The 24406-nt window shown below is 38.8% G+C and overlaps 1 long non-coding RNA gene and 1 pseudogene across 2 annotated transcripts in view; one reads left to right on the top strand and one right to left on the bottom strand.

Moving 5' to 3' along the window:
- Positions 5371-7068, bottom strand: EEF1A1P12 (eukaryotic translation elongation factor 1 alpha 1 pseudogene 12; annotated as a pseudogene).
- Positions 10014-24406, top strand: part of LOC102724744 (uncharacterized) — an 81680-nt gene continuing 67287 nt past the window's right edge. The window contains exon 1 of one of the 2 annotated variants that reach the window (XR_923152.3): positions 10014-10272. This is a non-coding gene — a long non-coding RNA (uncharacterized LOC102724744). The remainder of the gene's footprint in view (positions 10273-24406) is intronic. The other variant, XR_923150.3, reaches the window with a different exon arrangement.

The following is a 24406-nucleotide window of genomic DNA, read 5'->3' on the forward strand; positions in this document are numbered from 1 at the left end:
TATTGTCGTTAAGGAAGGTGAGGAGAAACCAGAAAAAGAACTTAAGTTAAATTGAATATAAAACATCATAATAAAAAGAAAAATTGTTGACTATCAGTTATGACACAATGCATTAACAATATTCCTTCCTAATCCATGAATTGATCCTCAACAAACCTCTTGTCCCTTCGAAGTCTCCTTTGTCCACTGGAGGGATTTGGTTACTTCTTCCGGCTTCAGTGCACTGCTGAATGTGTGCTCAGCTTTTCTCCTTCACGGGTCACAGTCACATGATGTAACCCAGCTTCATCCATTCCAGGCAATTGTTCTTCTCAGAGCCTATAGAGAATTTGGATGTTGCTTTCCAAACTAACTGGAAATGTGCACATTTCCTTATGGTGAATGTTTGCTTCACTAACATTAAATCTTCACTCAGCTCCTCGTTGTCATGCTGTCCTGTATACCCAATATCTTTTTGTTTTTTTTTTGTTTGTTTTTTTTTGTTTGTTTTAAAACCAAATCAGAATGTAACTTTTTAAAGACATTTGAAATGTATTTAAATCCAACAAGTATAGTATCAACATGCATATACTTTCCATTCGTGCCACAACAATACGAGCAAATCCACAACCTTACAAATGCCCAGAGAAACCCACTGCAGAAGGGGCAGGTGGAGGGCTGAGCCTAAAACAAGCAGACCACTCAAAGGTCTCTAATAGAGAATAGTCTGTTGCCCACCCAGGTCCCTGCACCACCACCTCAAGATGAATGTCTAACCATCAGCAATGCAGCTTCCAAGCCAAATAGAGGAAAAATGAAAGCGCCACATGAATTTTTTCTAAATAAATTAAAATTACTTTTTGGGGAAAACTAGTATAGTTTCTAGTGAGGAACTAGCACTCAAGTTAAATTGAATTAAATTAAATTAAATTTCTGCATCCTGGGCTTCGTGCCCCAGCCTGCTCACCCAAGGAATGCCTACTGGTCAGGAAGCCTTGTGCTCCTCCCCCAGGACTCCCACTAGCCTTCATATTGGATATTCTTTTTTTTTTAGTTTCATTTCATTTTTGGTTGACAAATAATAATTGTATATTCTCATAGGGTACAAAGTGATATTTTAATACATTTATACACTGTACAATGATCAAATTAAAGTAGTTAACATGTCTATCACATCAAATACTTATTATTTCTTTGTAGTGGAAATATTTTAAATCCACTCTTTTAGCAATTTTGAAATATAAAATGCATTATTATTAGCTATAGTCAACTTGCTATGCAATAGAACACCAGAACTTTTTCTTTCTCTCTAACTAATTTAGTGCCCATTGGCCAACATCCTTCCTTTCCCCATCACCACTCCCCGCCCCAGCCTCCAGTACTCTAGTAACCACCATTCTACCCTCTACTTCTGTGAATTTGACTTCTTAAAATATTTTGTATACAAGGAAAATCACAGGGTATCTTCTGTGTGCTTGGCTTATTTCACCTAACATAATGGCCTCTAGGTTCATTGGTGTTGTTATGAATGACAGGTTTTCATTCTTTTTCTGACTGAATAGTATTCCATTGTGTATGTATACCACATTTTTAATCTGTTCATTGGTTGATGGATACTTAGGTTGTTTCCATAACTTGGCTGTTGTGCGTAATGCTGCAATAAACATAAGAGTGCAGATATTCCTGACATAGTGATTAAACCTCCTTTGTGTGCATGACTAGCAGTGAAATTGCTGGATCATACAGTAGTTCTGTTCATAGATTTTTGAGGAAAGTTCATCCTATTTTCCAAAATGGCTGTACAAATTTACAATACCACCAACAGTGTATAAGGGTTCCCTTTTCTTTACATCCTTACCAACATTTGTTATCTTGGATCTTTCTGATAATAGTCAATCTAATGGGTGTGAGTTGATGCTTCATTATGGTTTTAATTTGCATTTCTCTGATGATTAGAGATGTCAAGCGTTTTTTCATATATATGTTGGCCATTTTTATGTCTTCTTTTGAAAAATGTCTATTCAAGTCCTTTGACCATTTTTAAATAGAGTTATTTGATTTCCTATTATTGAATAGTTTGAACTTCTTGTATGTTTTGGATATTAAATCTTTGATGCATAATTTGTAAATATTTTTTCCCATTTCATAGTTTGTCTCTTCACTCTATTAATTGTTTCCTTTGCTGTGCAGAAGCTTTTCAGTTTGATGCAATCCTATTTTTGGTCTGCAAAATGAAAGAGAAAAATGGAGAACCAACAAGACTTAAAGAAACTATTACTGAGTAATATAAAAGACATTGTATCCATTCAGTAAGAACTGGATGCTATGGAACGAAGGCACGGGAAAGGGTTCTTGGAACTTAAAAACACAATGGGCTAAGTAACAAAATTCAGTAGGAGACCGCAAGGAAAATTAAAGAAATCTCCCAGATCAAAAATAAGGAGGTACAAAATTTGAGAGGACAGAGAAGACATAGAGACTACAGTCAAGACTGGAGATCAAACATCTAATAGGATTTCTAAAAAGTAACAACAAACAGGAGGGAAACAATTTTTTTTCCTCCAAAGAAATAATATAAAAATTTCTATACAGTTGAAGGTAACCCTATTTCTTAAATGGAAAAAAACTTACTGAGTACCAAATCCAACAAAGGCAAAAAGCTGTTGACATAGACACATCATTGTGGAACTTCAAAATATTAAGATAAAGGCTTTTAGAGAAAAACAAGTCAACTGAGAATCACATTGGCATGAGATTTTTCATCAAGACATCACATGCTAAAAATAGAAGACACTTCTTTTTTATTTCCAAATTTTCCTGGTGTTGTCCATTGTTTTTACTGTTGCTTCTGAACTCTTAGGAAGAAAAATAATGTATTTACAAATTCTAGGGCTGTTTTGTTTTTATTAGGTAAGTGATTATGAGTAGGTGTGGATTGTAGGTCTTCTCGTCAGAAATAAACTTCTTTGTAGAGACAACATTCTTTAAGACATGCTTGACTTGGTTTCTTCTGTTATCACAGGGGTTCATCCTGGCTGGGGTTCAGAATGCTTGGTGGCTGGACAGGGCAGAGGTGCAGATCCACTCCCCATCTCCAAGATATGGAGCCCAGTGGTCTGAAGAGAGCACCCAAGGGAAAAGATCAAACTCCAGCCTAGAACTGCCAAACCAAAATGGGGCTTCACAGAAGCAAAACTTAGCTTCAAAAGTGAAGTTCCTAGAACCGGGTTCAGTGGGAAGATAAGTTGATTCTAGGGGGAAAACAGGAAGCAGAACTAGATAAATTCTCTAAGGGGAGATATTCAGACAGGTTTCCTTTGATAAGACCCTGTACATTCAAAGGAGAATGGAAGGCCACTTAAAAGATATTGGATTGGTTCTAAATATCCACCCACAACACAAATGGAAACATTTTATGAGAACAGCAAAAACAATTAACTGAGACTGCTGGAGAGTAAAGCCCAAATGCAGTGAACTATATAATCCAACTATAATTATATGCAGTAAACATAAATGATTGACAGCGAGATTCTCATAGCAATTTCTAAGTCTTTCATACTAAAGACCTAGTGAAACCTTTCGCAGACAATAATTGCTCTTCCGCTTTGGTGCAAATTTCTTTTATTATTGTGCAATCCAGTTTTCTTCTGTGTGTTCCAGGCTGTTCAGTCCCAGGATGAGCACATCTTTATATGAGGGTTTATATTAATGTCTTGCCAAAATTATATATATTTGAAATTCACTTGTATGGATCATTTTCACGGGAACTATGAAAGAAGTCTGCTTTTTCCAACTAGCTTTGTAATATCTACTAGTACTGGTCCTGCCATTTAAAAAATGCAACTCAACTTCTAAGCCTCTTTGCTCATTTGTAAAACAATTATAATAGGACCTACTACAACCTTCCTCATAGAGACAGGGATATTATAAAGATTAAATGAGATAAAACATGTAAAATGCTGAGCACAGTATTTAGAACATAACAATCCTAAATGATGTTAGTCATTAGTGCTATCATCATTACTGTCATCATTCTTATTAAATCTGATTATCAAAAATGCTAGTGAAAAGGCACTGTAATATTTCCAATTTTACAAAGGTCCTGATAACTTTAAGAAGTAACTAGGAAAATCTAGCTGTGTGTTCTATATTTAGAACGTTGTCATAGCTCACACAATTATTTCTAATTTGTTTTACTGCTAATTTAGGCAGTTTTCTATGGACTGAAACTACTCATCAATAATTTAAAATCTTTTATGGCACAAAGGAAATTGTTGTTTTAAGTAATATTTGTGAAAAATTTATGTGAGGTTAAAACAATGTACCCATTTTGGAACTGGGATACCTACTGTGTCTTCTGAGTCGAAGTCACCAGGGTGACTGGGAGGCCTTCATGCTGACCCAGTTTTGGTTGTCAGGTTTCAAGTACAATTGAATGCCATTAAAAAGTGTTATTGTATTGACTTACCCTCGACACACCCAAAGGGCCTTCTGGTTCATTCAGGCTAACTAGAAAAGCCAAGAAAAAAAAATTAACTCCATACGATTGTGCCAGTTCAAAGCTGCTCAGGGAAGTGACCCGACAGATGTGATGCCCGAGACAAAAGCTCTTGAATTAACATTTATATGCATTTCAACTTCCATTCCCAGATATCAAGGCAAATTAAAGACACTTAGCAGAATACTTTCAGGGCAATGGGATTGGAGAACTATAGGTCTCAACTACTGAAGGACATCAGAAACTGCTTTGAAAAAAATTGGTTTGCCAATACAGAGTAATTTTCTTTGGTTTGGGGTGACTCATTTATTTGTGTCTTAATTCACAGTGTTTCAACCTGAGCTTCAGAAATTACTGTAACCAAACCCAGGTTCGGGTGCTTGCTACTTGAAAGCCAAATACGAGAGATGAAGTTGGTGGGAGGAAAAGCAAGAAGATGGTGAACTAGCATTCTAAAGTACCACCTTCAAATTTCCAGGCTGGCCGCAGGATTTTTGTGGGAGAAGGATATAGGGAAGAGGAGGGTGTTTGTATCAAGAGGTGACAGAGGTCTGTAGACATCTGGGCTCCAGTGACAGATGGAGGAGATGGGGAACCACTTTGTCCGTGGTCGGGTCACAATGCTCCTACAAATCTTTAACAAGACATAGTAGTTGTTTGCATTCTTTCCTTAATCCCAGACTTAGTTTAAAAACCACATGATTGCTGTTTTCTGCATGTAATCTTAGTGCTCTAAAATTATTCTAACCTATGTGCGGGAATGGGTAAAGCCCTCTTAAACAAAAATGGAGTCAGTCATGTTAGTTGTTTTACTGTTGCACTGTTACATTACTATCTGGGTGACTTTAAGCAAGAACATTTGGGGTCATGACAATTTTTCAACCTTTTTTTTCCTCATTAAACTTTTTAAATGGGTCTCAAAATTCTGTGACAAATTTTTGGTCAAGTTGTTTCCATTAAAAAGGGCTGATTTTAAAAGCTAGTAACTTAAAACTGCCACACGCAAAAAAGAAAACCAAAGTGGTCCACAGAACATTCTCCTTTCCTTCTGAAGGTTTTACGATGCATTGTTATCATTAACCAGTCTTTTACTACTAAACTTAAATGGCCAATTGAAACAGAGTTCTGAGACTGTTCTTCCATCACTGATTAAGAGTGGGGTGGCAGGTATTAGGGATAATATTCATTTAGCCTTCTGAGCTTTCTGGGCAGACTTGGTGACCTTGCCAGCTCCAGCAGTCTTCTTGTCCACTGCTTTGATGACACCCACTGTAACTATCTGTCTCATATCACGAACAGCAAAGCAACCCAAAGATGGATAGTCCGAGAAGCTCTCAACACACATGGGCTTGCCAGGAACCATATCAACAATGGCAGCATCAACAGACTTCAAGAATTTAGGGCCATCTTCCAGCTTTTTACCAGAACGGTGATCAATCTTTTCCTTCAGCTCAGCAAACTTGCATGCAATATGAGCCGTGTGGCAATCCAATACAGGGGCATAGCCAGTGCTTATTTGGCCTGGATGGTTCAGGATAATCACCTGAGCAGTGAAACCAGCTGCTTCCATTGGTGGGTCATTTTTGCTGTCACCAGCAACGTTGCCATGACGAACATCCTTGACAGACACATTCTTGACATTGAAGCCCACATTGTCCCCAGGAAGAGCTTCACTCAAAGCTTCATGGTGCATTTCGACAGATTTTACTTCTGTTGTAACGTTGACTGGAGCAAAGGTGACCACCATACCAGGTTTGAGAACACCAGTCTCCACTCGGCCAACAGGAACACTACCAATACCACCAATTTTGTAGACATCCTGGAGAGGCAGGTGCAAGGGCTTGTCAGTTGGACGAGTTGGTGGTAGGATGCAGTCCAGAGCCTCAAGCAGCATGGTTCCAAGGCATGTTAGCACTTGGCTCCAGCATGTTGTCACCATTCCAACCAGAAATTGGCACAAATGCTACTGTGTCAGGGTTGTAGCCAATTTTCTTAATGTAAGTGCTGACTTCCTTAACAATTTTCCTCATATCTCTTCTGGCTGTAGGGTGGCTCAGTAGAATCCATTTTGTTAACACCAACAATTAGTTGTTTCACACCCAGTGTGTAAGCCAGAAGGGCATGCTCTTGGGTTTGCCCATTCTTGGAGATACCAGCTTCAAATTCACCAACACCAGCAGCAACAATCAGGACAGCACAGTCAGCCTGAGATGTCTCTGTAATCATGTTTTTGATGAAGTCTCTGTGTCCTGGGGCATCAACGATAGTCACATAGTACTTGCTGGTCTCAAATTTCCACAAGGAGGTATCAATGGTGATACCATGTTCACACTCAGCTTTCAGTTTATCCAAGACCCAGGCATACTTGAAGGAGCCCTTTCCCATCTCAGCAGCCTCCTTCTCAAATTTTTCAATGGTTCTTTTGTCGATGCCACCGCCTTTGTAGATCAGATGGCCAGTAGTGGTGGACTTGCCCGAATCTATGTGTCCAATGACGACAATGTTGGTATGAGTCTTTTCCTTTCCCATTTTGGCTTTTGGGGGTAGTTTTCATGACACCTGTGTTCTGGCGGCAAACCCATTGTGAAAAAAAAAGCGAATTTTCAAATATATTTAAAAGTATTACAGCTACCTAATCATAACATCATTATATCAAAAAACCTAGCAATAATTCCTGAATATCATCCTATATTCAGTATTTTCACATTTCCCTAATTGGATATTTAATTTTTTAACGTTTATTAAATTGAGAACTAAATGAAGCCCACCTTTTGATCATCACTCTTAAATTCCTCTACATCATTTTTTTCTGTTGAAGAAACTGGGTGGTAGGGTGTAGGTTTTCTCACAGTCTGGATTTTGTTTATTTTATCCCCATGGAATTTTAAGCACGTTCCTCTGTTCCCTGCTCCTATAGGTTGATAGATAGACATTTGATCAGACTTAGTCTTGATTTTGTTCTTTTTCTTGACCATGCTACTTTGCAATGGTGTCCTTCCATCGAGAGGCAGGTAATACCTAATTGTCTCTTTTTTTGGTGATGCTTATCAACCATTGAAATTATTTGCCTAGATCCTTTAATTCATTAGTAGTTAGTATTGCAAATGGATAGTCTATCTCACCTCAGTTATTTACTCATGAGATAATTCCAGAAAGATACTTTTCTTTCATTAACTATTTGGATACTCAGATAAACAGATTTTATAGGGAAGGCCTGATAATTGCTCCATTTCTTCTCCCTAATTTTTAAAAAATCAGTCCTAAAAAAATTAATTGGTTCTCTGCATGTATCCAAGGTTGATTAATGAGCTGAATTTTTCTTTTTTTAGTATGATTATAAACTCTCCTGTATTAAATCATATGTAATGTCTTTCAATCCATTGCAAGTATTACCTTTTTTAATATTCAAATTGCTTCATTTTCGGCCAGTGGGAGCCTATTCAAGTTAGTTCCTCAGTCTTTTTGATAAGGCACTAGTAGTCTTGACAGGTTCCTTGCTTTCGGGCATGAAGAAATCTTCCAGGCTTTTCTTGTACATTGGAACCAGGCATTTCTCAAGGAGCCCTACTTTCCATTGCAAGAAATGGTATTTGAAGTTTGCAATCCAAGATGTAATCACTACTGGGTTTGTCTTCGTTTTTAGGCTTGTTCAGTGTATACAAGTAGGAAATATGTACGTATGTATATAGTTTCACACACACATACTCATACACACACACACACATATATATATTTAAAGGTAAGTAGGAAGTTCAGTCTGATATTTTCAATTCTAACTGTGGGTTTTTACTTATTATCTGTACAACTCATAAATAACATATATACATTTTTTTTAACACATTTTATCCAAAGAACATTCAAAAACTCTTGGTGATAAGTGGCTAAGAAAGTAGTGCCTATTCTGGCCTTTTGTGTGCGTATGTGTTGGGGTGATTGCTTTGATTCCTTTGATCTTTTTTTCTGTGTTGCAGCCCCTCCTGGCTGGGATGGAGATGTAGATGCTGAGGAGAGGAATGCAGAAGGAACTCAAGTTTATTTATGTTAAATGTTACTTTGTAAAATCTAGCCTCCCACCTTGGAGAATGACTGATTCTAGGACTGGAGCAAGAAATATATAAGCCTGGAGCATCTTTTAGTGCCAGAAAAGAAGGAAATGCTGGAAAAAAAAAAAAAAAGGGGGAGGAAGGCGCAGGAGAGATGGGTGTATGTCAAAGGGACTCAGGAGCCAACTGTAAGAACTTCCAGTGGCCAATGCTGAAATTTGAGCAACAAAATAAAGCAGCACCAAACTACAACGCAAATTATAAATATCTGTGAGTTCGTACTAATATAAATCAATTATTTGCTAAATAACTGAATGGGAGAGAAGAGCCAAATCTCCCATGCAGAGGAATTCCAGTAATTCATGCAGATACTCTGCCCTCAAACAGGTGTAACACAACCACAACTCCCACCCTTAAGTGTGGGCTGCACAGGGTGACTTCCTTCTGAAAAACTATCTCAGTCAGACAATCAAGGTCAGCAGCAACTGTGTTATGATGCTGGCAGAGTGTACCTTGATACAATGTGATGAAAAGGATACTTTGCTTCTGTGGTTTTTCTCCCAAAAACCTGTAATGGTCTAATCACACAAAAGAATCAGACAAGTCCCAATTTACAAAATCTCCTCAGAACTGCCAAGGTCATCAGAGCAAGGAGACTCTGAGAGACTGTCACAGTCTAGAGGGGCCTAGTGAGGCATGACTATTAAATGTCACATGTTCTCCTGCACAGGGTACTGGAAGAGAGACAGGATATTGGGTAAAAATGAAGGAAATCAGAATAAATTATGGAGCTTAGTTAATAATAATGTGTCATGTTGATTAATTGAAGTAAATGTACCATACTAATGTGAAGTCTTAATCATAGAGAAAATTAAGTGTGGGATACATGAGTATCTCTGCACTATCTTTATAATTTTTCTACAAATCTGTAACTTAAAAACTGAAGTTTCTAATGAAGTTACTTTATTTCTAAAAAAAAAAAAAAAAGATTTATTAAAAAAATTCAGCTCCCCATTTCAGTGTAAACAGATTTTTTTTATTCTCAGTCTCCCCACATTTTAGATATCTCTGCTGTTCCTGGGTCATTGGTCAGTTTGATCACTAGAAAGGCAGCCTGACAGGAACTGACAGGAAATCCCCTTTGTTTTATTGTATATAGTAAAACTCTTTTATTATATGTAATAAAACTACTGAGAGCTGCTTTTCAGGATGTGCAAAAGACCCTCAAGTTCCAACTAGTCTTAGAGAAACTGCTTGACGTGGTGCCAATTTAGCTGGTCACTAATTGGCCCAGTTTGTTCTCTCTGTTTGCATAGGCTAACTTAACAGTAGCATTTCTTTGAATAAATTTTAAGCCTCACCATGGAATAAAGAATGAAAACAAGGCTTCTGTCAATGTAGGAGTAAATTTTATCAGTTGATGAAACTATTTACTGTTAGAAAATTGGTATATAGGAAAACAATGTGTTATGTTGGAGTCTGAGTTGCCAGGTCAACAGAAAACAAAACAAAACAAAAAAAAAACCAACCTCCACTCCAAACGTTTAACTAAAGAGAGAGGTATGAGCCAGGGTCAAGACATCTAGAAAGGGTGAGGAGAGGCTCTACCAGCAGGAAGCTCTTCCCACCCCAGTGTCTGAAGGGCAGCTGACAAGAGAATCTCACTGGATTTATGGAGGAGAGACTACCTAAGGGGAGCAGTAAAAATGAGAGTGCAGCTCTGCCCAGATGGCCATGTGAAGTTGGAGTGGGGTGAGTAAGGAGAATTGCACTCCTAGCCTCCCTCCCCTTCTGCTCACCGACCTCCTGTTGGTCCCTGCTATTTGCCAAATCTAGCCGAAGCCCAAGGGTAAGGACACCGTAGTGATGGCCACTCCAGCACTCAGCCTCCTGGGGGTAGTGAGCAGAACAAAGGGGAGAGGATGGATGCAGAGGACAGGTGGAGAATGAGCAGAACTATTAGAAACCTCAGGTGCACGTGGGATTTTTAACAAGGTCTGTGTTTCCCAGCTCTGTCTTTACTAAACACGGTGCCAAAGTAATAGGAGGGTGCTTCCCATCACCTGCTCCTCCAGCGCCCAGACTTCAGTGTCTAGTCTGTTCCCCACAAAAGGAACCAAGAATCATTGTAGGGTGGCTGATTCCATACCTGTAGCAGGGTAAAATCAGGAAAATTTAGTGGCCAAAAAGCAAAGGGCTGTGCTGAAAGAACAAAGAGAACAACTTAAAGACAACTTAAAGAGACACCCACTGGCCAAGTTGTAATCATTTGAGCCTCAAATAGAATTATGTTGTAATCTGTTTTATCAAATATAATTATATATAATATATTTTATTAGTCTTTAATATATTTATGTTTTATATAATATAAATATCAAATGTGATTATGGCTATAATCATTTGGGTCTCAAATATAAATACAGTTACGATGAATGAGGATAAAGTGTCCTTAAAGCCATGAATTGATGAAGATACCCCAAAGAGAAAAGTCAATAAGAAAAACACAGACAGGTAATTGTAACACAAAAGAAGGATGAAAATAGTGAAATGGCTTTCATTACTTTATAGATTTTTAATAAGTAGGTGACGTCAAAATATGTAGATATTTCTTCTATTGTAAGTCTAGTTTTAAAGAGCAAATATACACTTGCTTCTATCCACGTACATAAGAATACACCAAAATAACTGTAAACAAACCAGAGGATCCCAGAAAAGGTAGATACTGAAACCTCAAGCAGTAAGTTGTGGTCACCTACAAATAGAGATTGGCCACATATTCCAAAGGGAAGAATTACTTAAATGTCCTAAAGAGGAAAACTAATTATGTAGACTCAGTCCTTCTTCCAGGAAATATTTATATGGCTGTACTAGTTATAATTTAGTATGTGTTTAATAATGTGTACAGACTATACTTAGCAATACATCCCAAAGCATGGACTCTGAACGATGTAATGCAGGCCAAGTCATATTTTAAAATTACTGCTTGGAGGCATATTACCTTACTGTGGCTGCTGTAACAAATTTACAACAAACTCAGTGGTACAAAACAACATAAATTCATTCTCTATAGTTCTTGAGGCCAAAAGTCTGAAATCCAGGTGTCAGTGGGGCCTCGTTGCCTTTGAAGTCTCTGGGGAAGTTTCCAAATCCACTTCTGGCCGCTGCTGGCGATCCTTGTCTGTGGCTGCGTCGCTCCAACCTCTGCCTCTCTGGCATGGTCACACTGCCTCTTTCTCTCTCTTTTTTTTTTTTTGGTCAAATCTCCTCCGAGTGTTTCTTGTGGCATTTAGGGCCCACCTGTAAAACCCAGGATTATCTTTTCATCTCAAGATCCTTAACTTAGTTACATCTGGCAAGACTCCTTTCCCAAATAAGTTCATATTCACAGGTTCCAGGGACATATCTTTTGGGGGGACCACTATTCTATCCATGACAGTGGGGAGTATGACTAATACTGGTTAAAACAAAACACAAAACCTAAAACCTAAGTACAAGGTCTAGAATTTAAAAGTCTTATTGAACAGCACCTCCCATTTCCCCTGCTATTCAACAAATGTAACATTTGAGCTATGCAAGACGGATGAATAAGGTCGAGAGATCTGCTGTAGAACACTGTGTGCCTATAGCTAATAATACTGTATTATGCACTTGGAAATTTTGTAAGTGGGTAGATTGCATACTAAATATTCTTATCACAATAAAAGAAGTCTAACTGCAATTTAATTACAAAAAGGAAATGCAGGTTGATGCTTTGCAGCTCCAGTTTGAATTCGCTTGGGAGAAGAAACCATGTCGAGTAGCTGGATATCTCAGCTCACTGAAGAGAAGACAGTTGGCCTAAGAAAGAATTCTCTTTCTCTGGAGTCTGGCAAGATTTCTGCAGTCCCAGGGAGGAATCAAAGTATTACTACCTAACTCTTGCAAAGATATTAGAATAAGCATATCAATAACACTCGGAACATATAAACACAGTATAGAAGTAAAAAAGAAATGAAATAAATCCATGCTGTTCATAGTTTAGTTTTGAATATACCTGAATAAATGTATTTTGTGGCCATTACATTATTTTTCTGATGCTTCAGGTGTTTGAACCATTGAAATATGGCTTGCTAAATTTGTTATTTAAAATGTTTTTGGACATATAATGATTCAAATTTGTAATGTTGAAATTCTCAAAAAATACTGGCTTTCTGTATTTTATTGTTCAATATATTAACTAATTAAATTTTGCACTAAATAAATTCCAAAAAGTAATGAATATTTCACTTCACATACTCAGACTCTTTAGACTTTAAAGAGGCTATTAACTGTTTCAATTAGTATTTGAAATATTTCTTGAAGTCCTGCTTCATTTTCTCATTTCTGCTCTTTGTAGACACCTTCGAGGGTGACCCAGCCTTCCTCCTGATCCTCTTTCCTAAAGGGTCGAGGAACCTCAGTCTTTAGAGGTGTAGCTGAGTTGTTGGGTTCTCCTTCTCTGACACGAGGTCTCTCAAGGTGATCCACATTGAATTTTTCCATTAATTCAAATCTGACATCAATTTATTTTTATTAAACTAAATATTCAATCGTGTTCTCACATAATTGGGAGCTAAGCTGTGAGGATGCAAAGTCATAAGAATATAATGGACTTTGGGGACTCAGGGAAGGGTAGGAGGGGGATGAGGAATAAAACTATACACTGGGTACAGTGTACACTGATCAGTTGATGGGTACACCAAAGTCTCATAAATCACCACTAAAGAACTTACCTATATAATCAAAACCCACCTGTTCCCCCAAAACTGTTGCAATTAAAAAATAAATGCTGAGTCATATTGTTACTCTAATGAATAACTGATTTTTATGGAGTAGACATTTCATAGCAATGCCTCATTCTCTAGTCTCATTTCTTCAACAAAATTATATTTTTATGCAGAATAGGAATATATACCTTTCCCAAGAATACAGTATTTGCTTTGCTTTTATGTGTAATACATATGGACATATTGCTTTTTTTCCCCCCCTCCAAGAGCTAATTCTAGATTCTCACTATTTTTGATGTAGTGGTTATGTATTTATTCTTAGTTTAGTTTATGTTCTCAACCATAGTTTTGAGATATGAGGGGACTTCAAAAAGTTTGTGGAAAAATAAAATTAAAAGATAAAAATTAAAAAAAAACTTTATTTCTTCACGTAAGCTCCATCAAATTCAAGACATTTTCGTAAGGCAAAATACCAGCCATGCAGTCCATCCCTAAACAAATGAAAGTCCTGGGAATTTAACCATGTCAATGCAGTTTATTTTTATATTTTAAGTGAAGAAAAATGGGTGCTTTTTAAAGATTCTTTTAAGTTTGGGAAACAGAAGTCAGAAGGAGCCAAATCAGGACTGTAGAGTAGATGCCTATTGATTTCCCATCAAAACTCTCATAAAATTGCCCATGTTTGATTAGAGGAAGGAGCAGGAGCATTGCTGTGGTGGAGGAGGACTCTGGTGAAGCTTTCCTGGGTGTTTCTCTGCAAAAGCTTCAGTTAACTTTCTCAAAATACTCTCATAATAAGCAGATGTTATCATTCTTTAGCCCTCCAGAAAGTCAATGAGCAAAATGCCTTGAGCATCCCAAAAAAACCATTGCCACGACCTCAGCTCTTGACTAGTACACTGTTACTTTGACTGGACCACTCCCACCTCTTGGCAGCCATTGCTTTGATTGTGCTTTTTTCATACTGGTAAAGCCATGTTCCATCTCCTGTTACAATTATTTGAAGACATCCATTAGGATCTTTATCCCATTTGTTTAAATTTTCCATTGCAAGTCCTACTCTTGCCTGAAGCTGATCTGGGTGCAATGGTTTTGGCACTCATTGAGTGGAAAGTTTGCTTAACTTTAATTTTTCAGTCAGAATTGCATAACTTAAACCACTTGAGATGTTCATGATGTTGGCTATTATTTGTGCTGTTAATCATGAATCTTCTTCAATTAGGGCATAAACAAGATGATTTTTTTCCTTGAAAATTTATGTGGATGGTCTGCTGGTGTGGGCTTCATCTTCAACATTGCCACATCCCTTCTTAAAACAAGTTATCCGTTTGTAAATTGCTGATGTCTTTGGGTCATTATCCCCATAAATAAAGCATCAATGTTTCACCATTCTTCCTCTGAAGGTTCACTGTAAGTTTTATGCTTATTCTTGCTTCAATTTTAGCAGAATTCATGTTGCTTTATTATGGGCTTTTTCAAAGTGATCCTCATTAGACATGTCATAACAAGTTAGTACAAGTATGCGTTGGTGCCAGAAATTGAAATCCCTGCATAATTTTTTCATAATATGCATTTTCCGTGAATGTTTTCATGACTCCTTGTAAGCAAGCTTTAATGTTGAATGGATACAAAGGGATGCTCCCTTTGGAAATTGATACCCATTAAATGGCAGAGAACACAACTGGTGGAAATACTTGTTTTCTCCTCTTAATTCAGCAAGTTGATTCAGAGTTCATGGAGAACAGCTTGAAACACAAATTGAGCTCATTTTTAAATTTGTAGGTTTTTATTTGATGGGAAAAGGATAAAGATTACATATGGTCTTTGCAACAAAGGAAAATTCAGCATAGAAATGTACAATTCTTTCCAAATTGAACAGTTGGGGTGAACTGTATCAGGAGGAATATGACGGGTTCCTTGGAGATGATTAGGGAAGGCAAGTTGAGGCCTGAAGTGCAAACTTCTCTGTAATGTGCCTCGTCATCTTCTTACACGGTGGTTTAGAGACACCACAAACATTTTATCTTTGCCTTTTGAAATTCTGGGGAAGTGTCCTCCCCAAAAAATGATGCATCAAGCGATAAATAGGATTAAACAATTCCTCGGACAGACCTATATTGTTGAACCCATTTCATGAGACAGACAAGGGATTGGGCACTGGAATCACGGAGATTGCAAAGTCAGGGCTAGGCCGGAAGTGCCATTGTGCATGGTGGCAGTGTGTCTGGGCCTTGGGAACATGGCTCACCTGTGTGCAGCTGCCTTCCCGTGCTGCCTTTCATGATGCCTCCCCTGCCTGTGATGATTAGCTTATATGACCATTTCAGTACTCAATTCACCAAGTGAGGTTCTGGACCTTAATTTTCCAAGAGTGAAGGAGGACACCATCCATGGATGGGCAAAAAGTGTGTTTGAAAGTCATATTGACACATGAGACAATCCTCTATGCAGGATTATAAAGGACCATGCTAACATCACTGTGCAGATCAGCATGTCTTTTGCCCAAAAGTGTCCCATCCCTCCCCTCTGTGACTTGGTCCTGTGCAAAGCCACAGCTGCAACTGTGTGACACTTTGTGTGGCAGGACATAATTGCCCTGGTGCAACTGGGTCCAAGTCTCTAAGATTAGAAAGGATGGGACAAGGACCTGGTGCTAACAGTTAGCTCAGCTTCACCTCCGCTCTTACCTCTTGTTCTTTATTTAGTCTCCACTGGTTTCCATTTCATGCTAACAACTTTGGGAGACTCCTGAGATATTCTCCTGGTTGATAGGGCCACATTGCACATGTTGGAAATAAAGACTTATCCTCTGGGATCCAACGTGATAGATTCAATAGACATGTCTCCTGAGAAGGTCAAGGAGGGACATCTGGAAAGGCTGCAGTGAGCCAACACCTCTACCATGTTGTTGTCAACCTAAAAAACAGCAGAAAGAGATTCTCTTAAACAAAAGATATTTGGTAATATAGCACTGCAATAGGATTACACATACCATAATAACTATGTGCATATTCAGGGGGGTAAAGGAAGACAAAGGTTTTTAAAACATGAGGAGGACTACATAGTTGTTTTGAAATAATTATTCTTGGCTACAGAGATTAGTAACAAGGTTGGTGCCAGTCCTAGGTTGGACAGGAAGCTGCTGGGAAGTACTTGCAGAAGCATTTGTATATAAGGTTGTGATGGTCTTTGTGCAAGGTTGTGGTTTATGCAGAGTCTTTTTCGTTATCAGGCATGCCAGTGTGAGACCTCTTCATGGCATTCCCTGGTTCTGTTTGTCAGGGTTACCTTAACATTAGTGACTCCAGTTTGATTCTGACAACTTTCCCATTGTTCAGTCACCCTAATGGAGAGTCATTTGGAACCCTTTACAAGAGTAGGTGTGGCACAAATCCTCCCTTATTGCAGGACGGATTGATCAATCCTCTGCTCTTCCTGTGGGGCCCTTTAAGGAGCTGCCAAGCAACTGCATTCCACACCAGGCAGCATGTAACAGAAGTGTCAGCACTTTCTGGCTGGGAATCAACAATCCTCCTATTCTCATCTTTTCTCCTAGTTTTTGGCAGAATTTTCTCCTGCTTGGACTTTCCTTGTACTTATGATGTGAGACACAGTAGCACCTTCCCAGCTGTGCCCCACAGTCCCCACACCAGCTTCCCTCATCTTTCTGCCTGAGCTCCCTTAGATGGCAGCCCTCTGTTCCCCTGGGGTCTTGAGATCTTCTACCCACCCTGAGTAGGGTTGCTCTTGGTTTATCTGAGCCCTGCAAGGGAAACTGATATCACCCTGTATAAATGTGCAGAATAATCATAAAATTGGAAAAAAAGCTAGTCCTGTAATTTAAAAATAAACATGAATATGAAGACTATAATGTACTGACAGTAGGAAAAAAGAACTCTTCTGGGAAATTCACTCTGCAGGAATGTTTTAAAAATCAATTAAGATCTACAACAGCAGTAGCAACATAACCTCCATGCCACAAATCAAGGTAAGAGGCAAAATGCCTTAAACGTAATTCACATTTCTTAATTTTTTTTTCTTGTCGAAGACTGCATGGTTTGGCATTGCAATGTTGTATTCCAGAGTCCCCAGTTGTAGGTTGTAGATTAGTTCTAATTAGCTTAGTCTTTCACATATATCGCATATATGAAAGCTTTGCCATTCACTGTGGTTGCTAACAGACTGATGTCCTCATGATAAATCACGTTAGTACTAGGCATGGCCAGAAAAGAGATCAATGTGTCTGTGACTGACTGGATCATCTGTTGGGTGGAATACACATTAGACAACAACTTGCATTGGACTTCTATTTAGAACTGAAATTTTGTGTTTTCAATCCTGTATTTGACATTGCAAGGTGTGATAGTTGGCAAACATATATAATCTTAGTATTTGGCAATATTTTTAATGTGTACTTTATTTAAATAAATACATATATGTTCTCTATCAAACACAGCTACGGAAGAGATCAAACACAATAAAACTCCAGGCTAACTCAGTGTTGAGATCATTGCACCTTTGCATTATTGGCTGAGTCCAAGTTATTGTCTACATGTATTTTATCTCCACATTGTAGATGGAGCAAGTTCAAATAGACTTTAGAGTTGAAATTGGAAATATGATAATCTATGTGACAGGATTCAGTTTGATACATATAGTTCTTCACTGTATTACACAATTCCAATGCTTAATTTCCATATAGTGTTTTCTTCTATCATCTCACATAAAATTTTAAATGTCAAAGTACAAACACCCCAGTTAAATGTCATTTGTGTTGACTTTTTCTCAAGAAAATTTAAAAATAGAAATTCCTGAAATAGACAATAAATGTAAGAATTAGAAGCAATGCACCTGAAAGCAGTCCAGAAAATTCAAATTCAGTTCACCATGGAAAATACTTGCAGCTCCATGTGTGTTATGCACACACCTGTGCATGTATACACATTTAATACGTATTAAAATTCACCTAGTCTTTAATCCTAGCTATAAGTAGCCACATTAAGGTGGAAAAATAGTAAATCATCTGAAGAGGAGAATAAAATGGCTTCTGAAATATCTATAAGTTATGTAGATCTTAAAGTCTAGTAAAGATGTAAGAGCAAATCAGAAGGAGTGAGGTGCTCTCTAATGAAAATTACTTTAAGTGTACAAATGATTAATGATGGGCCAATGTGTTTTCTGCTCATGTTAACTCAGATAATCTATTAGTTACAATAAAAAGCTGCCTGAGATGCAGCAGATTCATATAAAGGCATGATGAAATTCTGAGTTGCTCCCTCTAGGGTAAGTCTTCTTCAAGTGGGTACCAGCAGAAGCTGCCTCCTCCTAGCTTCCCTCTTCTTTCTAATCATAGACAAAATGAATAATTTGATTTGGTTATTATTTTTGTGCATTTTAAGGTAGGATTTTTTGGCTGTAGGATACAATTAACCTATCAATAAGTCTTCACATATTTTTATTAAATTGCTTCCAGATTATAGTAGTTGGTGCACATCAAATGATATGATTGAGTCTTCTCAGGAAACCTGATTTATTCTGTGGAGCTGGAGCTCAAGAAAGTAAGGAAATTCCTCTGCTTTTGCTTTCAGCTGCTTTCGTCAACTGTGATGATTGTTACAGTTGGCCTTTGCTTCTTTAAGAGGAGCTCTTCAATAGTTCTTTCATGTGACACTTTCCTCTCGTTTACCAAGTCTTGAAAGCCTTAACCTTTGCATCATTCAGTAAGATGAACTTGACTTTGAGCCATTAACTCCCTTGAGCTATCCTCTTGGAGTTGACATTGTTGTTTGTTTGCTGTTTTTCAGTGTTTATAAAATCAATGAGGTGAGTGGCTATGTGATACAATAGTAGAGGGTAGTGAAGAGGGAGGACGTGGAGGAAAGAGGAGAAGTTTGGCTAAAACAAATTTCTCTTTGGACACGAATGTTCAATATTCCTAATGATTAGAATTTGGGTCTAAAAAGAAGAAGAAAAACCCAATGTAAGAATTGCTTCTACAATATATGTATGTGAAACAACACCAAATGGATCCTACAGGATGGGGCTACATTTCAATTAATCTATACAAACCTCCAAATAGCCCAGAGTGTGTGTGTGCGTGTGTGTTTGTGTGTGTGTGTGTGTGTGTGTATCTTCCTTTTGGAATCCTTTTCATTGCAAAGTAAGTTTTCTTAAGGTCATTTCCTTTTGGAGGAAAGAACTAAAAACATTTTCAGAATATGTGCTAGGGTTTGAAATGAACAGTTATGGTGGTTCTTACATACCAGAGAAAATATGCAGGTAGATATTCTCTTGAATGACTAGGAGAAATGGTGATGATATTCCCTTTGAAAACACAAAATGTTACAAAAATGCTAAATAACAAAGATAAAATGCTACTGACTCACTATAGTTTTGGTTATTATCAAAACTTGACTTCACTGACAATCAGGGTTGGTGAGTTGTAAGCATCAAACTGCAATTTGCTGGTTCCTGGGTTTCTGTTTAGATGAGGAGCTGTAGTTTGGATGTGCATTAATAAAGCTACCTCTGTATTTGACATACCTACCTATGATGATTTCATAACAGAATGAAGAGTCAATCCATGTCCTCAAAAATGACATCTTAAAAATCCACAAATTGAGTTTTATAGGCCCAATTATGTCAAATGTATCATCTGAGTAAAATTTTCATGTCAAGAATACTCATTATATCCCATTACCTTTAAAAAACATGAGCAACTAAATTATTTAAAAGTCCATCTAGATACTGACATTTCATTTTTTTCCAGCAGAAAATGTGAAAAAAGGTAAAAAAGGTAAGAAAAAGTCTTTCTTAAAAATATCTGAATGGTAGTGTAATTGTTGGGCAGGTTCTTCTTGCCCATTGCACAGATAAACCCAATCCACTGAGACAGCATTATTGCAGTAAAGAAATAGTTTAATTAACACAAGGCTGGCCAAGTGGAAGGGCAGATGTTTATTATTACTGTAATCAGCCTCCCTGAGAACTCAAAGACTAGGATTTTTATGGATTATTTGGTGGGCAGGGGGCTAGGGAATGGGTGCTGCTGATAGGTTGAGAAAGAGATCATATGGGTATGGGAAATGGTCCTCATGTGCTGAGTCTACCTCTGGGCTGGAGCCACAGGACCGGTTGAGTCATGAGCCATGGGTCTGGGTGAGGTCAATTGGTTGCCAGAATGCAAAAGTCTGAAAAACATCTTAAAAAACAATCTCAGGTTCTACAATAGTGATATTATCTCCAAGAGCAATTGGAAAAGTCACAACTCTTGTGACCTCTGACCACATGACTCCTGAGCAGTAAGGGAGTCATTTTAGCAGAATTCAGGCCTCTCACATAATCCTAATTTTGTGCCCTTTCATTAATCTTACAAAGACCATTTCAGTCCCTAAACAAGAAGGGGATTGATTTTAGGGAAAAACTGTTATCACCCTTGCTTAATTAAACTATAAATTCCCTCCATGATTAGCTTGGCCCACATCCAGAAGTGAAGACAGCCAGCCTGTGAGGCTTGAAGCAAGACTGAGTCAGCCATGCTTGCCTTCGCTCACTGTCATATTTTTGCAAAGGCAGCTTCAGTAGAATCTATGTTGTAGGTATGTAAGTGCTTAATGTAAAATACTTTCAACTTTGCCATAGGTTTTAAAATTTTTAGAGTAAGATGCTGCCAAAAAAAAATCTGTCTATTCTTAAGGCTTTGAGAACAATTACTGACACAAGCAGCTGACCAATTAAAAAGCAAGGAGATATCCCAAGTTTGGAAGAGAGTTAGCAGCTGTTCTACTCAGACCTTGACCAGCCCAGTGCCTCCCTGCTGTAGCCCTAATCGTAGGCCTCAGCTTCTGCGTCCTGCTCAAGCATGGCTTTATGACACAGTTTGCCCTCTTGCTGGGCATCTATAGAAGTAGAAAGTTTGCTCTCAACATTAAGTCAAAAGCTTCCTCCTTCTTAGTTATGCATTTTTTCCCATAGGTTAGGGTGGTGCCTCTCAACCTTGGTACAATAGACGTTTGGAGATGACCAATATTTGTTGTGGTGGCTGTGCTGTGCATTGTAGAATGTTTAGCATCATGCTGGGTCTCTACCCACTAGACTCCAAGAGGTTTCCCTAGTTGTGACAACAAAACATATGCCAAACATCCCCTGGAAGACATTCCCTGATGAGACCCATTGCTCTGGAGCAATTCCCAGTTATTTTTTCTTTTTTAAAGTGAAATGCTGCTGAGTAGTCAATGTGTAATTTTCTAACCTAAAGCTAGAGTTTTATTTGTATCAGATTTCATCTCGTTGAATTGGAGATGTCATTCGACCTGTTGAAGTCTTTCTGAATTGTAACTTCCTTGTATCCTCTAAGCTCTCTCTTCTTGAGTCCTCTTTCTTGGCTGGGCAGCCAGGCAGGCTGATGTGGTAACCTGGCTTCTGCGTCCATCAGGATCCCAGCAGAAAACAGATGCCTCACTCACTGGGTGACTGAGGAGAGTTTAATGCAGATTTACTGTCAGAGATAATGGCAGAATTTTAGAAATCAACAAGTTGTCATTCATAATTGCCAAAAGTTAGAAGCAACTCCTGTCATTGATAGATGGGATAAACAAAATGGGGTCTATCCATACAGTGGAATGTTACTCAGCCTTAAAAAGGAAGTAAATTCTGATGCATGCTGCAATATAGATGAGCCTTGAGGATATTGTGCTAAGTAAAAGCCAGTCACAAAGGGAAAGATTCTGTATGATTCCACTTATATGAGGTCCCTGAGCAGACAACTTCATAAAGACAGAATGTAGAATGGTGGTTACTAGGGGTTGGTGGGGAGAGGAGAGTGGGGAGCAATTTACCAGGTGCAGAGCATTAGCTTTGCAAGATGAAAAGAGTTCTGGAGATTGGTTGTGAATATATGTGGCCCTACTAACTGTGCACTTAAAAATGACTGTGATGATAAATTTTGTGTTATGTGAATTTTACCACAACTTTTTAAAAACAAAAAACTAATGAGCAATAATGCGGTTCCCCAAAGCTCTCAACAGCCTTGGAGGAGCAAGATGAAGGCTCCCAGCCTTGAGTGTGTAGCTCTATGAAGAGGACTGCCTGACAGCAGCTGTGGCCTTCAGGGGGGATTTCTGGAGAGACACACATGCGGAGAACAAATACATCAGGCTTCGTCTACTTGCTTGCTCCCTCTGATGTCTGCCATCACCTCCAATGGCAGAACCAGCCTGGAAGGCGACGACCCACTGATGTTACCTTTAGGGTCAGCTGTCTGGGGCACACAGCACAGAGGAGAAGAAGGGCCAGGGCCCTGCAGCAGGTGGGGACATCCAGCTTAGGTCCCACTGGCACATGCTGAGGGGACAAGAGGGGTCTCTCCTTAAGCTCTGGCTTCAGAGACCCAGAGGGCAACATCTGGGACCTTTCAGAGGGGAATCAGAATCAGAAAAGGATGAAAAGACACATTCACCATGTAGAAATACACTGAATTGATTAAGGGGCCCTAAGAACATGCCCACAACAAAACCCAGCCCTTGAAGACACCCACAGAGTGAGTAGCTGGTCACACCCAGTAAGCAGAAGCAGACAGCATGAGCACAGCGGGCCACCCCAGAGAGGAGCTTTTTATAGAGACTACATGACCAGCAAGGATGAACAGTCTTCACAGGTTTGTGTGTCCATGTAAGTTGCTATATGTCCTACATCATTCTCACAGTACTGGGTTCGTAGTTGGCGTCGCAGGGCTCTTCCCATTTAGTGGAAGGGTGGTGGTGGCCACCGATCTTCAAGCTTGGCCAAGAGAAATCTTAGAGCAGAGAGTAAAGAAACAAAAAGGAAATGAGCAGGACTGATGTTTCTGGAGAGGAGGTGAAGGCAGCGGAGGGACACAGGCTTCTCTTCTCTGCCTTCTAAGGTGATCCCTGAATAGACACTCACAAGCCCCCCAGGCTCCATAAAGCATGGCATGGGATCTACAAGTGTCCTTGTCTGCTAGGGTTGCCATAGCAGAATGTCACTGACTGGGGGCCATAAACAACAGACATTTATTCTCTCACAGTTCTGGAGGCTGGAAGTCCAGGATCAAGGTGCCTGCAGTTTCTCCTGAGGCCTCTCTCGTTGCCTTGCAGATGCTGCCTTGTCTGTCCTTACATGGCCTTTCCTCTGTACCCAAGCGTCCCTGAGGTCTCTTTCTCTCCTTATGAGGACACCAGTCCTATTAGATTAGGGCCCCACCCTTATACCTCATTTAACCTTAATTACCTCCTTAAGGGCCCTATCTGCAAATACAGTAAGATTAGGGGTTAGGGCTTCCACATATGGATTGTGTTGCCCAAGACACAACTCAGTCTATAACAACTGGTAAGGTGAAAAGCATACAGGCTGCAAAATCAGACTAGCCCCACTTCGACTCACCTTGGGCAGATACTTTGACCTCATAGCAGGGACAACATGGCTATCCTTAAGGATGGTGTTGTCAGGAACAACTCAAGTGAGAAAAATTCATGGAAAGTGCCTGGCATAGGACCTGACCCATGGTAGCGTCTTAACAAATGTAAATGCCTTTCTCTTTCCCTTCAATTACAGTTTTCCAGTCTTGCCCTCTCTCACTCACCTCCCCAAGCCCTAATAAGCACACTAGAATCTATTGTTTTACAAAAATTCACTGACTTTATTTTATTTTTTCTTTATAATTGAAACATGAAAATTGTACATATTTATGGTATCCAACACGATGTCTCAATATATATAAATATCTGTCCACACTGCCCAAAACGATTTACAGACTCAATGTGCTCCTTCTCAAAAATACCAGTGACATTCACAGAAATAGAAAAAAAATGTCCTAAAATTTGTATGGAACTGCAAAAGACCCAAATAGCCAAAGCAATCTAGAGCAAAAAAACAGAGATAGTGAACTGAAAAGGGGTTAAGTCCACCGGTTGATTTAAGTGGCTCAGCTTAGGGAAGAGGAGAGTTAATGAAAGTAGGATGAGGAGTCAGATGGAGACTTCCTTAAGGAGAATTCTAAGTGTCTTTCAGGGTTTTTTGGTGAGGTTGCTGTCACTGTCAATTTTAGCTAATTTTAGTTCAAAACACAGGGTTTTGTTTGGGCGTTAAAATGTTTTATTCATACTACTCTCATGTTTAAAAGT

The sequence above is a fragment of the Homo sapiens genome, chromosome 2, assembly GCF_000001405.40.
Source record: "Homo sapiens chromosome 2, GRCh38.p14 Primary Assembly".
NCBI classification, from domain to species: Eukaryota; Metazoa; Chordata; class Mammalia; order Primates; family Hominidae; genus Homo; species Homo sapiens.